Genomic DNA, 17,004 nt, shown 5'->3' on the forward strand with positions numbered 1-17,004 from the left:
GTCGAAGAGTGAGAAGCACAGTCCACACTTCACTGCACCACCTCCCCGACCCCGCCCCAGAAATAAAGATATCCCAATACTCAGGTCACTTGATCTTCTTCCCCCACCATCAGGCCTTTTCTAACTAACTCCAAATCTGTTGATACAACTCAGGTTGACATAGCTATGCTAAATGGACAACAAGAATTTATGTACACAAAATTGAAGCCAGAAAAATATTCTGATGACTAAAGGTCAGCTACAGGAAAGCTGTTACTATGTTCTCCTCTGCAGAGAAGCTGGCAACAGAAAAAACTGTTCAAATATAGATGAAGCAGCAACTACAAATTTAAATGGCCTTTTAAAGGGGGACAAAAGTAAATACTTCCAATATTAAAATATAATGTAGCTGGGGCATTTTCCATTTCAAGGGTGCAGTTATTTCCAGCAATTAAACTTTTCCAAAATCTTCCTTATGTGTAACGTTTGATTCAGATACCTTCAACAACTGCAACTTTGCAAGCTCCCAATGCCCCCACACTGAAATGAAGCTGGCTCAGCTCCCTCACCTGCAGACCCTGAAGGAGGAGGAGCACCTGCTTTCTGCCACTCAGTGGCCTCAGCTGCCATTCTTCTCACATATGCATCATCCACACACATCAAGATATTTTCCGGCTTTATGTCAGTATGAATGATCTTGCACTTACTGTGTAAGTAATCTAACCCTTGAAGGACCTGGATATAGTAAAATCAAGAGAGAAGATAAGCTATTAATATCTCATTATATAACTTTTATTTATTTGAAAAACATGTAATACAATGCCAGGGTACAAAGTTTGATAAACACAAAAGGATATTTAGTAAAAATCTCCCTCCCATGCCTACCCACATTGGAATCCAGCTCTCCTTTCCATAAGCAACCAGTGTGTATAATTTCAGAGATTATTTATGCTCGTGGAAGCAAATGCATCTACATACAGTTGAACCTTGAACAACACAGGTTTGAACTGCATGGGTTCCCTTATACACAGATTGTCTTCCACCTCTGCCACTCCTGAGACAGCAAGACCAACCCCTCAGCCTACTCAACGCGAAGATAATGAGGATGAAGACCTTTATGATCATCTACTTCATATGATCTATCCACTTAATGAATAGTAAGTATATTTTCTCTTCTTTATGATTGTCTTAACATTCTTTTCTCTAGCTTACTTTGTTGTAAAAATATGCTATATAACACACATACAAAATACATGTTAATTGGTCATGTGATCATTAAGGATTCTGATCAACAGTAGGCTAGTAATTCATGTATCATACAATTGACCCCTTTAGGTATACAATTCAATGGATTTTAGATGTGCGACTATCATTACTATTTATTTTTTAAATTTTTTATGTATTTATTTTTTGAGACAGAGTCTCGCTCTGTCACCCAGGCTGGAGTGCAGTGGCACAATCTTGGCTCACTGCAACCTCCGCCTCCCAGGTTCAAGCAATTCTCCTGCCTCAGCCTCCCAAGCAGCTGGGATTACAGGCGTATGCCACCACGCCTGGCTAATTTTTTTTGTATTTTTAGTAGAGACGGGGTTTTACCATATTGGCCAGTGGTCTCGAACTCCTGACCTTGTGATCCACCTGTCTCGACCTCCCAAAGTACTGGGATTACAGGCGTGAGCCACCACACACGGCAACTACCACCACTATTTAAATGACAACATTTTCATTGCTCCAAAAAGAAACAACATATTCATCAGCATTCACTTCCCATCTCTCTCCTACCCCTTCTAACCCTTAGCAACCACTAATCTACTTGCTGATTCTGGACATTTCCTATAAATGGAATCATATAAAGTATTTTTTTGTAACTGGCATAATGTTTTCAAGTTTGACTCTTGTGCAGCATGTATTAGTACTTCGCTTATTCTTATTGGCAAACAGTATTCCACTGTATGGAGATACAACATTGTGTTTATCCCTTCACCTCATGAACATTTGGGTTATTTTCACTTTAGGGGCTATAAAAATAATACTGCTATTCACACTCGTGTATACATTTTTGTGTGAACATACTTTTTTTGAGGGGAGGTATATACCTAGGAGTTACCGTACTTAGGTCATATGGTGCCTCTATATTTAGCTTTTTGATGAACTGCCAAAGTGTCTTCCACAGTGGCTGCACCATTTTACATTCCTATCACCAATGTATGAGGGTTCCAATTCTTCGCCCTGAACAACACTTACTATCGTTTTTTACTTTATCCACCCAAGTGGATATGAAGTATCTTGTTGTAGTTTTGATCTACATTTCCCTGATGGCTAATGATGTCCATACATTTTTAACACTGCAAGAGAAGGGGGGCTTGATTTAAATAGAAAATAGCCTTGGTATCTAGACAACCCTACAGCATTATACTAAAAGAAAGTGATGAACCAAGATATTCATATTTCTCATATTAAAACAATCAAAAACTTACAGTGTCAGTGACCTAAATACAAGGTCAGTGTTTTTCTATAATTATTTCCACTGGAGAATAATTTTTTCAATTATTTCCATAAACAAAATTTATTTTTACAAAACAGATCATGTTCTCATATAAGCATTAGAAATTCCAAATGTTAAGCAAATATTACATCAATGACCATTCAAACAATGAATTGAATAGGCATTTTGTTCACAAGAGACAGGAAGTGTTATATGTTTCACATCATCCAATGTAGGGAAAAGAGAGATCCGACTGTTACTGTGTCTATGTAGAAAGGAAAGACATAAGAGACTCCATTTTGAAAAAGACCTGTACTTTAAACAACTGCTTTGCTGAGATGTTGTTAATTTGTAGCTTTGCCCCAGCCACTTTGCTCCAGCCACTTTGACCCAACCTGGAGCTCACAAAAACATGTGTTATATGAAATCAAGGTTTAAGGGATCCAGGGCTCTGCAGGACATGCCTTGTTAACAAAATGTTTACAAGCAGTATACTTGGTAAAAGTCATCGCCATTCTCTAGTCTCAATAAACCAGGGGCACAATGCACTGTGGAAAGCTGCAGGGACCTCTGCCCTTGAAAGCTGGGTATTGTCCAAGGTTTCTCCCCATGTGATAGTCTGAAATATGGCCTCGTGGGATGAGAAAGACCTGACCGTCCCCCAGCCCAACACCCATAAAGGGTCTGTGCTGAGATGGATTAGTAAAAGAGGAAAGCCTCTTGCAGTTGAGATAGAGGAAGGCCACTGTCTCCTGCCTGCCCCTGGGAACTGAATGTCTCGGTATAAAACCCGATTATACATTTGTTCAATTCTCAGATGAGAGAAAAACCGCCCTATGGTGGGAGGTGAGACATGTTTGCAGTAATGCTGCCTTGTTATTCTTTACTCCACTAAGATGTTTGGGTGGAGAGAAACATAAATCTGGTGTACGTGCACGTCCAGTCATAGTACCTTCCCTTGAACTTAATTATGACATAGATTCTATTGCTCACGTGTTTGTTGCTGACCTTCTCCTTATTATCACCCTGCCCTCCTACTACATTCCTTTTTGCTGAAATAATGAAGATAATAATCAATAAAAACTGAGGGAACTCAGAGACCGGTGCCGGTGCAGGTCCTTGGTATGCTGGGCGCCAGTCCCCTGGGCCCACTGTTGTTTCTCTATACTTTGTCTCTGTGTCTTATTTCTTTTCTCAGTCTCTCGTCCCACCCGACTAGAAATACCCACAGGTGTGGAGGGGCAGGCCACTCCTTCAATCCAACACTGAAATATTCCCAGTTTAATCGACAGTGGAAGGCATCTGATCAACAGTAAGCTATTAGTAGTTAGCCTACTGTTAGTAGAAGTTAAAGTAGCATTATGAAGTGAGAGGGAACAAAGATTTTACAAGGAAAATGAAAACAGGAATACCTCTTAAAAACGATCAAAATCCCTACAAACATTTAAAACAACTTTACCTTACAGAGTATTTTTACATAAATTCACTGAATGTGCATCGCCTGAGCTCCTATCACATGCCATTATTCCAGGTGTTTGATATATAAAAGCTCCCAGGCTTCATGTTGCTTACAGTCCTCATATCCTCACAGAGGTTACCAATTCAGGACAGGAAATGAGTATGACGGGTGGGGTAATTGGCCAAAAAAAAAACCAAGATGAATCATGGGCATGGCAAATATGATTTAATAAGATACTGACAAGTTCCTAGTAAGTACCAGTGAAGTAGATAAAACTAGGATAAGATTTTAAGACATTTTTTGCCTTAGAATATTTACTGTTTTGGATAATACTGCAATTAGGATATGTTTAAATTACATTTAAAATGTCAAGGCCGGGCTCAGCCTTGCCTTGTAATCCCAGCCCTTCGGGAAGCCGAGGCAGGCAGATCACTTGAGGCCAGGAGTGCGAGACCAGCCTGGCCAACATGGCGAAACCCTGTCTCTACTAAAAACACAAAAAAACTGCACAGGCATAGTGGCACAGGCAAGGTAGCACACGCCTGTAATCCCAGCTACTCAAGAGGCTGAGGCACAAGGCGGAGGTCACAGTGAGCTGAGATCATGGCACTGCACTCCAACCTAGGCGACAGAATAAAACTCTGTCTAAAAGGAAAAAAGAAAAAAAGCAAATAAAATGTCAAAGGACCAATAGTAAGAAAGATAACATGATGTAAAATATTTCCATGGAGAACATGGTTATACTTTTGAAGGAAACACAATCCAATGGGCTCATGTTATTCAACGACATTCATGCATCTTCCTGGTGCAAACTGAATAATATGTGGAGTTCTATATCTGAACAACAAAAGAGATTCTGAAAAGTACAAGAAATTAATGGATAGGCACATTGATGATGTCCAGCCCATAGAGGTCAAAGGAATACGATTTTTGAAAAATCGTTTTCCAACTAAAATTGTATTTCGGTATCAAATACTATCTCAAGGTAAAAATGTCAGTATCTTTCTTTCCTAAAATATATTTGACCATTTTCTCATGCACGAGAGTTGTCCTATCTTTCCACCTTGGCTTCTTTCACAGTTCAAAGGTTGATTCACTGTGCGGGAGGCTGCACAGTTAAGAGTTAATGTGCCTCAGTGTGCAAATGTGTTCACATGAGGTCCCAATGACAATGATGCACCTCATGACAAGCAAGAAGTGATCTCAGTAAAAACTTAAAGTTCCAGATTTTTTTTAAAAAAAATTGGCTATTGCACTCAACTAGGCTAACTTTCCTAAAACAGCAATGGGCAATAAACACAAGAAAAATACTTTGCCACTGGGACAAATAAAGTTAGTTAAGATAATTGAAACCATTAAAGGAAATGGCAACAGGGCAGCGTTAAAAACATGACCTTGGATTCAGACTGCTCTTAAATTACTGCTCAACCATTTACTCATTGTGTTACCCCTGGGCAAGCTGTTTAAGCTGTTTGAGCTTTCATTCTCATCTATGGGAGGGGGAAACACCTGTTACACACAAATGTAGCAATAAGCTTTAGAAATAATCTACGGAAAACTCACAAAAACAAAGTCTAGCACACAAGAAACTTAAATGGTAAAACGTATCTAAGTCAGAAGACTTGTACTGATATTGACTTATTGAATTATGATTTTTCATCACTTTTTAAAAATTAATTTCTTTTTAGAGATGGGATCCCGCTATGTTCCCAGGCTGGAGTGCAGTGGCTATTCAGAGGTGTAAGTAAAGCACACTGAAGCCTCAAGCTTCTGGCCTCAAGTGATCCTCTTGCTTCAGCCTCCCAAGTGGCTGGGATTACAGGTGTGAGCCACCACATCCAGCTTCCTAAGTCACTTATTAAAGTTCTCTGGGTTGGCTGGCACGATGGCTCACACCTGTAATCCCAGCACTTTGGGAGGTCAAGGCAGGTGGATCACCTGAGGTCTGGAGTTCAAGACCAGCCTGGCCAACACGGTGAAACCCCCTCTCTACTAAAAATACAAAAATAAGCCAGGCATGGTGGTGCATGCCTGTAATCGCTGCTACTCAGGAGGTTGAGGCAGGAGAATCACTTGAACCCAGAAAGCGGTGGTTGCAGTGAGCTGAGATCGTGTCACCACACTCCAGTATGGGCAACAGAGTGAGGTTCTGTCTCAAAAAAAAAAAAAAAAAAATTATCTGGGTCTCAGTTGTTTCCATTTCTAATATAAAAGGACTATACTTGATAACCCGTATGGTACATCCCAGCAACAAAACTTTGATTCCATAATTTAATTTTGAACTACTTTTTTCTTTTTTTGAGATGGAGTCTCACTCTATCACCCAGGCTGGAGTGCAGTGGCACGATCTTGGCTCACTGCAACCTCCACCTACTGGGTTCAAGCAATTCTCCTGCCTCAGCCTCCCTAGTAGCTGGGATTACAGGCACATGTCACCATGCCCAGCTACTTTTTGTATTTTAGTAGAGACGGGGTTTTCGCCATGTTGGCCAGGCTGGTCTCAAACTCCTGACCTCAGGTGATCTACACATTTCGGCCTCCCAAAGTGCTAGGATTACAGGCGTGAGCCACCATGCCTGGCCAGAACTACTATTTTTAAATGGTTTTATTTTCAAAAATAACATTTGTCTTTCCAGTGAAGTTTTAAGTAATAATGCACCCCAGAATCAACCAACATTGACGAGAACTCCTACAATTATTTATACAGGATAACTGTGACAATGGGAAAAACAAAAACACAAACCAAAAGGAATCATGTTTCATCCCCATGGATAGATCTCCCCTTGCAAAATCTGACAGAGTTAAGTCTTTACTAATTCTTTCCTCTGTTGCTTTTACTTGTCAAATCACAGTATGTTCATCTTTCTTGCCTAAAAACCTTAATACGGCTGGGCGCGGTGACTCACGCCTGTAATCCCAGCACTTTGGGAGGCCGAAATGGGCGGATCACAAGGTCAGGAGATCCAGACCATCCTGGCCAACATGGTGAAACCCCATCTCTACTAAAAATACAAAAATTAGCTGGGTGTGGTGGTGCATGCCTGTAATCCCAGCTATTCAGGAGTCTGAGGCACAAGAATTGCTTGAACTCAGGAGGCGGAGGTTGCAGTGAGCCGAGATCGCGCCACTGCACTCCAGCCTGGTGACAGAGCAAGATTCCGTCTCAAAAACAAACAAAAAACCTTAATACTTGGTGCTAGCAGCAGGAGGCAGCAGAGATCCTTTGGCTGCCAGGGAAGCTGAGATCAACCTAAGCCCAGACGAGCCAGGGACGTGACTCTCAATCATCCCACTCAGGGAGCCATTTCACACACATGAGGAACAAGTGCCAGGTTTCTCTGGGTAAAGTCAGACTTTGAGTTCAGCAGCAGTGCGGAAAAGAAGGCTAAGTCTAGGGCTGGGAGCTAGAAGCCCCGAGTCCCATTCCAAATTAACTAGCTACAGGTTCAGAGAAAGTTCCTTCTTTTCCTTGAACCTCAAATTCATCTTCAAAATAAGGGGCTTGGTTAAAATGGTCTCAAAGCTTGCTTTCTGTACATCAACATTTGTGTCAGATACCATCTATTACTGGTCTTCGCAACACAAATCTGCTCCTCTCCACCACAACTTGATTGAAATAGGTCCTGTAATCTTGTAGATAAGTCGGGGAACAGTCAAGCATAATGTGGAGACTCCTCTAAAGACTGTCTCCCTGGCCTTGCTCACAGCCCAGAGTGCAAAGCTTCCCCCAAAATTCTGAACTGTAAAAAGAAATAGAATGAGAGCAACTTTCCAAATTATGCTCTGCTACTGGTGATAAGCGGTGGACTTTCTTCCTCCCACACCTGAACAAAGGACACAGAGCAGGGAGACTCTGTCTCCTCCTACTCTGTGGGTAACAGAACCTAATGAAGCACCCAGAGAAACCCACGTGGGCAGCCAGATGGGCTGGCAGAGGAAGGAGGCGACCCCAAGCAGGAGTTCTTCATTGAGAATATTAATTACTTGTGGGCGTGCGGGACACCAGAGGGGTTCTCCGCAAGCCTAGAAGTTTCCTGCTGGAAACACTGAGGGTTCCACTAGATTTCCCTTCCACAGTGAAACACACAAGGCAGGTCCCACCAACTGCCTGTGAAAACCAAGATGTTAAACTCAATGGAGGAGCTTGGAAATACCTGTTAACAATAAAAGAGGACAAGAGCCAGAGACACGCTCAAACCAAAAATCCAGGGGACGGCGTCCTTACCCACATTGTCCTGAAATAGCCTCTGCTCCTTTTTCTTTCATCTCTAACTGGTGAGAATTAATGAGAAAAGCCAGCAGCTGTACTTCTGAATGTCATCAGGAAGAAAGTTAAAGCTGCTGTGCCCAGCACTGGGACTGCACAAAGCAATGGCTCAGGAAAGCAGCTTAGTCCCTTGAAACAGAGCCACCTCACCACATTTCCTGAGTCAAGGGCTCAACATCCTGAGGAGAATTCCAAGTCAATACAGCATCGTGTGCACTACCATGCTGAACAAACCCAGTAATATCAAAATGTTTACCAAATTGACATGAAAGCTTCTGGTCTGAACTTGAACAATACTGGTTCAGTCATAACAAAATTTACTGATAAACAGGGCCACTGAAAGAATTACAATGGTAAATAAATACTAAGTGTAGAGAGACAAAATCAGCCAATGATACAGGTGAGAGGACCTGCGGGGCACCACCGTGGCTCTCGGCATACTAGAGGGTTGCACCCCAAAGGGAGAAGTCTGGAAAAACATTGGGTTTTAAAGGTCTCATCTGGTTACATATTATAATATCTACTTCATAAAATCTAATGGCTATACTTTTTTTGTTTGTTTGGAGACAGAGTCTGTCACCCAGGCTGAAGAGCAGCAGTGACACAATCTCGGCTCACTGCAACCTCCGTATCCTGGGTTCAAGCAATTCCTGCCTCAGCCTCCCGAGTAGCTGGGACTACAAGCACGTGCCACCACACCCAGCTAATTTTTGTATTTTTAGTAGAGATGGGGTTTCACCATATTGGTCAGGCTGGTCTAGAACTCCTGACCTCATGATCTGCCCGCCTTGGCCTCCCAAAGTGCTGGGATTACAGGTGTGAGCCACCGCACCTGGCCCACCCTTATTCTTGTTTGTCTGTTTGAGTCAGAATTTCGCTATTGTCACCCAGGCTGGAGTGCAATGGCACGATCTCGGCTCACTGCAGCCTCCGCCTCCCAAGTCCAAGTGATTCTCTTGCCGCAGCCTCCCAAGTAGCTGGAACTATATGTATGTGCCACCACTCCCAGCTAATTTTTTATATTTTTAGTAGAGACAAGGTTTCACTATGTTGGCCAGGCTGGTCTTGAACTCCTGACTTCAGGTGATACACCCACCTCAACCTCCCAAAGTGCAGGGATTACAGGCGTGAGCCACTGCACCCAGCCCCCTTATTCTTAATCTCCACAATCAAACTACAAATTATGCATTACTATTTCGAGTTTACAAATGAGGAAACAGACTCACAGAGGCTAAGTAACTGATCAGGAGTACAAGATAGAAGTGCCAAAGCTATGATGTTAAATCAAGTCTGTCACCAAAGCACAATACACCTTACACTTTCTCTTATCCCAGTGGTTCTCAGTGAGAGGAAAACTGGCAAAGTTCAGAGATATTTCTAATTGCCACAATCAGGGATGGTGACAGCTGATACTGGCTCTGAGGGGTAGATGCCAGGGACGCTGCTAAACATCCTATCTGGTCTGAAGTGCCAGCAGCCCTAGGGTTGAGATGGGGCCTACACGTAGTTATGGGACCAAATGTGAGCTGAAGGCATTTCAAGAAGGGAAGGCATCCTCTTAATTGGGTACTGTGAGAAGCCTTTGTCACAATGGTGGGATTTTCGTTGAGTCTTAAAAATGTGGGTAGACAAGGATGGCATTTCTGGCAGCCTAGAACAAAAGAGATGATCAAAGATGTGGAGATAAAAAACGGAAAGGTGCCCTTAGGGGTCAAGATGATTACCAGTGAGTACTTTCTCTAAACTACCTACAAAATAAAACCAGTAAACATTCATGAATGAAAATTCTGGTAAATCTGCACATTATAAATGTTTGGGACATCTTTGAACATTCATAAAAAACGTAAGCTGGTAGATTCCAGAGGGAAATAGGGTACCTGAGGGACATCACTTTTTGTCTGCAAGGGGAAATACAGGCTGACACCAGATGATAGAAAATCTTAAACAGGTTCCCAGAAAGTGACTTAACTTCTACTGGACATAGGCCCAGTACAATTCCAAACTTATTACAGGCTCATAATAAGTTTATTATATAAAACCCATTATATAACGGCCAAAATGGTAAACCCATGAGCTCTGAAGCCAGACTATCTGGGTTTGAATTCCTGCTTCACCACTTAGCACTTTTTAAGCGACTTCCTAACTAGGGGCAAGTTACTTAACCTCTCTGGGCTTCTGTTTCCTCTTGATGAAATCAGGAAAGTAATAATACCCATTTCACAGGGTTATTGTGAGGAACTCAACTATGCAAAGTACTCAAATTATACCTGGCACATAGTAAGCACTGAATTAACTATTTGCTACTATTAGCATTACTATCTCTCATTACATCTTTACAATAAACTAATGAGGAAGGTATCATTTTTGTTTGTTTTTTGTTTTTAAAGAGACAGTCTTGTTCTGTCACACAGGCTAGAGTGCAGTGGCACCATCATGGCTCACTGCAGCCTTGACCCCTTGGGCTCAAGTGATCCTCCGACCTCAGCCTCCCAGGTAGCTGGGACCACAGGTGCATGCCATCATACCTGGCTAATTTTTAAATTTTGTTTGGTAGAGACACGGTCTTGCGATGTTGCCCAGGTTGGTCTTGAACTCCTGGTCTCAAGAAATCCTCCCACCTCAACCTTCCAAAGTGCTGGGATTACAGGCATGAGCCACCACGCCTGGCTGGTATCATTATTTTCCCCACTTTTATTGATGATGAAATTGTGGTTTGCAGAAGTTAGGTAACTTGGCCAAAGCCCTTTGGTGAATGTAGGGTATATTTGATGCCAAACCCAAGCTCTTAACAACTCCATATATTGCTTCATGAAGGCCAAGAACATAAAGCTTCAGCAAACAGGCAATGGGAAGCCACTAAAGAATTCTAAATGGGAATATGAGTCATTAAAGCAAGGTTTTACTTGCAATAGAAAGGAGAATAAACTGGAAAAGGGACCGGGAATTGGATGGGCTGTATGCACAGAGAGCCAAGAAAAGCCTGTGAAAAGGTACTAGCTGGAGGTGATAAGGGCCTGAACTAAAGAGGACAGCAACAGAAATACAAAGAACATCAAGAGTAAAAGACATGGCAAAGGAGAGTTCAACAGGCGGGTTCCTGGGGAAGCACAGCAAGTGATAGAGTAAGGAGAATGACTGGAACATGGTCGGTTATCCATGACTCTTAAGAAGAAGGTCTACAGTGAAAGGATACTAAGAAAATACTAAGAAAATTGGTCTGCTCTGGCTTGTTCTGGGAAATGATATAACTGTGTCAGTCTGCAATAAAAAATCTTCCTAGTACTACCCGGGAGAAAGAAATACTGAAAACATAGGCTGAATCAAAGGGGTTGAAGGGAAACCTCAGGTAAGTAGATTATTAACTGGAGTATGTAATTTCTTGAACAACTTACTACACTGAAAGTTCTGCGTAAGCTTAGGGGGAAAAAATCCAGATTCCATGATAATATTTTTCTTAAAGAAAGATGGGTTCACACACACAAAACCAAAACCAAACCAAAATTCCATTAACACTGCATATAAGAACAAAGTGCAGACCACATGACACAATCAAATTTTCAGCTTGAATTTCTCTGAACTAAAGAAATAATATAAGAGCTCTTTCTAAGTTTCCACCAAAAACAGGGTACATGAATTACAGTGAGGATAACACACGCATTGGCCAGGTGTGGTATAATCCTAGCAACTTTGGGAGGCTGAGATGGGAAGACTGCTTGAGTCCAGGAGACAAAGAGACCAGCCTGAGCAACACAGTGAGACCCCGTCTCTACAAAAAAATAAAAATTAGCTAGCACGGTGGTGCATGCCTGCAGTCCCAGCTACTAGGGAGGCTGAGGTGGGAGGATCACTAGAGCCCAGGAGGCCAAGGCTGCAGTGAGCTGTGACTGACCAGTGCACTCCAGCCTGGGTAACAGAGGAAGACCCTGTCTCAAAAAACAAAAACAAAATGAAGAACACAGGTTAACTTATTTAATCTTCGGTTCATTCAACAAGGATGCACTGAGGTTCCACTGAACCTCAGATTTTCATCTTTCAACTTACAGACTCCTTCAACTTGCTAAGGCTATATTTTCTTCTCTAGAAGATAAAATAAATGTCAATGGCTCATCTGTGAATTCACCTTTTTTTTTTTTTCCCTGAGATGGAGTCTTGTTCTGTTGCCCAGGCTGGAGTGCAGTGGCATGATCTCAGCTCACTGCAACCTCCACCTCCCGGGTTCAAGTAATTCTCCTGCCTCAGCTGGCAGAGTAGCTGGGATTACAGGCGTGTGCCACCACGCCTGGCTAATTTTTGTGTTTTTAGTAGAGATGGGGTTTCACCATGCTGGCCAGGCTGGTCTCAATCTCCTGACCTCGTGATCCACCCGCCTTGGCCGCCCAAAGTGCTGGGATTACAAGCGTGAGCCACTGCGCCTGGCCAAATTCACCTTCTTACACACTAAGCCTAAAGGGTGGTGGTGTGGTCAGTCACTTAAGGCAACAGCAAGCCCCTCTGAAAGCATGAGGTTCTGGGAAATGATGGAGCCTGCGGGAAATACATGCAGGCAGCTATTTCTGAAATTATTCAGTATTTGTTAGAATGTGTAATTCCTTTAATATTTTCAAGATTTATCAAAAATAATTAGGAGATTCTTCCCAAGTTTTAACAATATGGTTTTATTTTTTTGTGTTTTTTTGTGTTTTTTTTTTTTTTTAAAGACTTTAGAGTTGCTGCTAAATGTTACAAATAATACACTAGTCTTATTTGGGGATCAAATAATTCCACTTAACATACTAATTTCTGCCCTCACCACATAACCTCTTCTACATTAAAGTTGTTCATTTGAGATATCAGCCTGTCGAAATAATGAATAAAAATGCTACTATTTGAAAGCTAAGGGCAAACAGATACAGTACTGAACAAAAGTTAGCCATAAATCTAGGCCCACATGTATACCTAGCATAATACTACATAGAAACACCTCAATTCAACTGATATAGAAGACAATGTAGTGAACTTTTCCCTCTCCAGCCCCTCTTCTCAAGTAACATCTGTCATGTTACAGAATAAGCTGCCAATTTTCCATACAAGGCTGGGTGCAGTGGTTCACACCTGTAATCCCAGCACTTTGGAAGGCAGAGGCAGGCAGACTGCCTGAGCTTAGGAGTTTGAGACCACCCTGGGCAACACGGTGAAACCCTGTCTCTACTAAAAATACAAAAATTAGCTGGGTGTGGTACCAAGCACCTATAGTCCCAGCTGCTCAGGAGGCTGCAATGAGCTGAGATTGCACCACTTCACTCCAGCCTGGGTGACAGAGCGAGACTCCGTCTCCAAAAAAAAAAAAAAAAAAAAAAAAACCGTACAAAAGGAAGAAGAGATGAACACACAGGCAGGCTAAACAAAGTTATCTGCACACAAATTCAACAGAAATATCAAAGATGCTTTTACTACACAAATTTAAACTTCAAACTTTTTACAGGCAATGAGTAGAATACATACTGATTCCATGCAGAACACTGGAATGGGCAAACACTGCTAATTAGGAGGAGTTCTTCCATCTACGCATACTTTCATTCTACAGATGTTTACTAGAGCATCATCTCTAAGCCTGACCCTAGCTGAGGGTTTTCTTCTGGCAGGGCAACTGAACAAAACACACATCTAATACAGTAATTTCTATATGAGTTAAACATTTCCATTTTTTTCCCCAGCTTTACTGAGGTACAACTGACAATAAAAACTGAATATATTAGTAGTGTACATGTCTTGAAATATGTGTACACTGTGAAATGATTAGCACAAAACAGCTAATTAACCTAACCCAGTATGACATATAGACTCTGTGTGTGTGTACATGATGAGAACATTCAAGTCTACTCTGTTAACAAATTCCAAGTACACAATAATGTTAACTATAGTCATCATACTGTCTATTAGATCTGCAGAATTTAACCACGTTATAACTGAAACTTTGTACACAACTCTTCAATTATCTATTATTTAATCTCCATCCAAGGATACTTAGTAAATAAACCCAGTAAGTTATTTCTTCTAAATTACTTCCTAATGAACTAAGTGGATGTTTTATAGTAGATACTGAACAAAAACAATGTAATTGTACCATGTCACATACCTTAAAAAAAAAAACGACAGGCAAAAAACGTATGCCTGACAATTACATGTTGTTCCCTTCACAACACAAAATATCATTAAATACTGACTTAATAAGAGTTCAAAATGTTATGCACTGATACATATGTAACATACATAACATATATACATTATGCACTGATACATATGTAATACATATACATATTTGTAAACAGCATTCATGTTGAAAGCCTAACCAATTAGGTACTAGGGCCTAGGGGCTGCCGTCAAAAGTCTCACCTGTCGAATGATACTCTTCACACAACGTACTGGGAGGCCTTGATAGTTGGATTTGATGATCCACTTGAGGAGATGGTGGCCAAGTACTTCGAAGACCATGCAGACATCTGGGACACAGTTAAGGATCGTTTGTGGATGCACTGCCTGGAGTGAGGCAGTTATTGAAAGCAGCACCATTGTGTCACTTGCAAAGCACTTATTACTTTATAAAATACAACATCAACCCTATCAGTAATACCAAAAGTGAGAAAATGTTGTATCTCACTTAAATAACAAGAACTGACATTACTAAATACAGGTGTTTCCCAGTATCTCAGGAGATTGGTTCCAGGACCGCTCTCAGATACCAAAATGTACATATGCTCGCCTCTTCAGTAAACTGGTGTAGTATATACATAACCTATTCACATCCTTCCATATACTTTATTTTTATTTTTTTTTGAGACGGAGTCTTGCTCTGTCGCCCAGGAGTGCAGTGGTGTGATCTTGGCTCACTGCAAGCTCTGCTTTCTGGGTTCACACCATTCTCCTGCCTCAGCCTCCCGAGCAGCTGAAACTACAGGTGCCCGCCACCACGCTCGGCTAATTTTTTGTAATTTTAGTAGAGACAGGGTTTCACCATGTTAGCCAGGATGGTCTCGATCTCCTGACCTCATGATCCACCCGCCTTGGGCTCCCAAAGTGCTGGGATTACAGGCATGAGCCACCGTGCCCAGCCCATATACTTTATTTAAATCATGTCTAGATTACTTATAATACCTAATACAATGTATATGCTATGTAAATAGTTGTTATACTCTATTTCTTAATTTCTACTACTTTTTACTGGTGTTTCCCAAATATTTTTCATCCAACGTTTATTAAATCTATGAATGGGGAACCAGCAGATAAAAAAGGGCTAAGTGTACTTACTCTGTGCCATATATTATTTCACGTGTACTCCAAACAACCTTAGGCAATAATGTAATTAACCCCACTGTAGGCATGAGGACATGGCACTTTCTAGGTGTAGAGTGCACTTAGAAAGTGCCAGGTGGCTGAGCCACTACTCAAGCCTACACTGAGCTGCACTCTCACCCATCTCAGCACACTCCCTGGAAATCAGCCTGATGAAACAGGCAAGACTGAAACCTCCTAGGAACTGACATGAAACAAATACAGAGCTCCAGTATCTCAAGTGTCCTAACTGCCTGCCTAAATTTCTACTTGATAAGCTACATAAAACACATTATAAAATAAAAATTTAGTAAACACAGTTAAGACCTATTTAATCTTTTCCTTGAATAATATCTTACATTATACAACTAGATCAATTTTAATACTATAGGCAGGTGTTAAGAATGTATGATCACCATTTAAGACATGGTATTAAGACTTAATCTATAGTAACAACATCTCAGGAATCTGGATTTTCTTTTCTTAAAAAAGACAGGGTCTCACTACGCTGTGCCAGGTGGACTAGAACTCCTGGGCTAAAGATACTCTCTTGCCTTAGATTCCCAAGTAGTCAGTACTACAGGTGAAAACCACCATGCCCAGCTTAATTTTTTTTTGAGACACAGTCTTGTTCTGTCACCCAGGCTGGAGTGCAGTGGCACGATCTCAGCTCACTGCAACCTCCACCTCCTGGGTTCAAGCGATTCTCCTACCTCGGCCTCCCAAATAGCTGGGATTACAGGCGTGTGCCACTATGCCCAGTTGATTTTTCCAGTTTTAGTAGAGACAGGGTTTCACCATGTTGGCCAGGCTGGTCTCAAACTCCTAATCTCAAGTGATCCACACACCTTGGTCTCCCAAAGTGCTGGGATTACAGGCATGAGCCACCACACCTGGCCCCAACTTAATTTTTTTTTAAAATAGGTATTTCAGCCTTCACAACTATGATACCTCCAATTTCATTATATATTCATGTCATTCATACAGGAAGATTACAAATGGCTCTGAAACCCTTTGAGAACATTTTATTCATCCCTGGAGGCTTACATTTGACTTTAGAATCAAAAAAAGTAGTTGATTTAATCAACTATAATAACTGAATATGCTATATTAAAACAATATTATTTTAAATATTTTTAGTGAAAAAAAGAAAAATCTTTCTATACTGTTTAAGAATGTAAGCACTACAGATTTATGCGCAGATAATCTAAAGCCAGAAGTTTCTTACTATTTCCCAGGCTCATTACAAAAACGGCAGATTATTTAAGGACTACATTTAGCAGCAGGCATAGGGCGAGGCCCAGGATATCCCAAACATAACCTAAGTCTTCTCAAAGCACTGGCATATCTGGATATGATGATTACTTCGCATTTTGCTTAACAGTAAAAATACCCACTAGAACGTATATTTCAAAAACCTCTATTTACCCACGGATTAAGTAGTTTCTCCAAAGAAATGTTCTATTAGCTGTCCCAAGAAGGACCTTGCAAGTCGGACACAGAAGA

At 41.3% G+C, this 17,004-nt stretch overlaps 1 protein-coding gene across 34 annotated transcripts in view; it reads right to left on the reverse strand.

Annotated features, from left to right (window-relative positions):
* Positions 1-17,004, reverse strand: part of SRPK2 (SRSF protein kinase 2) — a 284,618-nt gene that overhangs the window by 31,205 nt on the left and 236,409 nt on the right. For 33 of the 34 annotated variants that reach the window (XR_007060151.1, XR_007060150.1, XR_007060147.1 and 30 more), the window contains 2 exons: positions 14,563-14,669; positions 549-714 (listed from right to left, as the gene is read on the reverse strand). Coding sequence is in view for 24 of the 34 variants with exons in the window: in XM_011516536.4 (XP_011514838.1) it covers positions 549-714; positions 14,563-14,669 (273 nt within the window). In the remaining 10 variants the exon portion in view is untranslated. The remainder of the gene's footprint in view (positions 1-548; positions 715-14,562; positions 14,670-17,004) is intronic. The other variant, NM_001350745.2, reaches the window with a different exon arrangement.

Source organism: Homo sapiens, chromosome 7 (genome assembly GCF_000001405.40).
Source record: "Homo sapiens chromosome 7, GRCh38.p14 Primary Assembly".
Classification (NCBI taxonomy): Eukaryota; Metazoa; Chordata; class Mammalia; order Primates; family Hominidae; genus Homo; species Homo sapiens.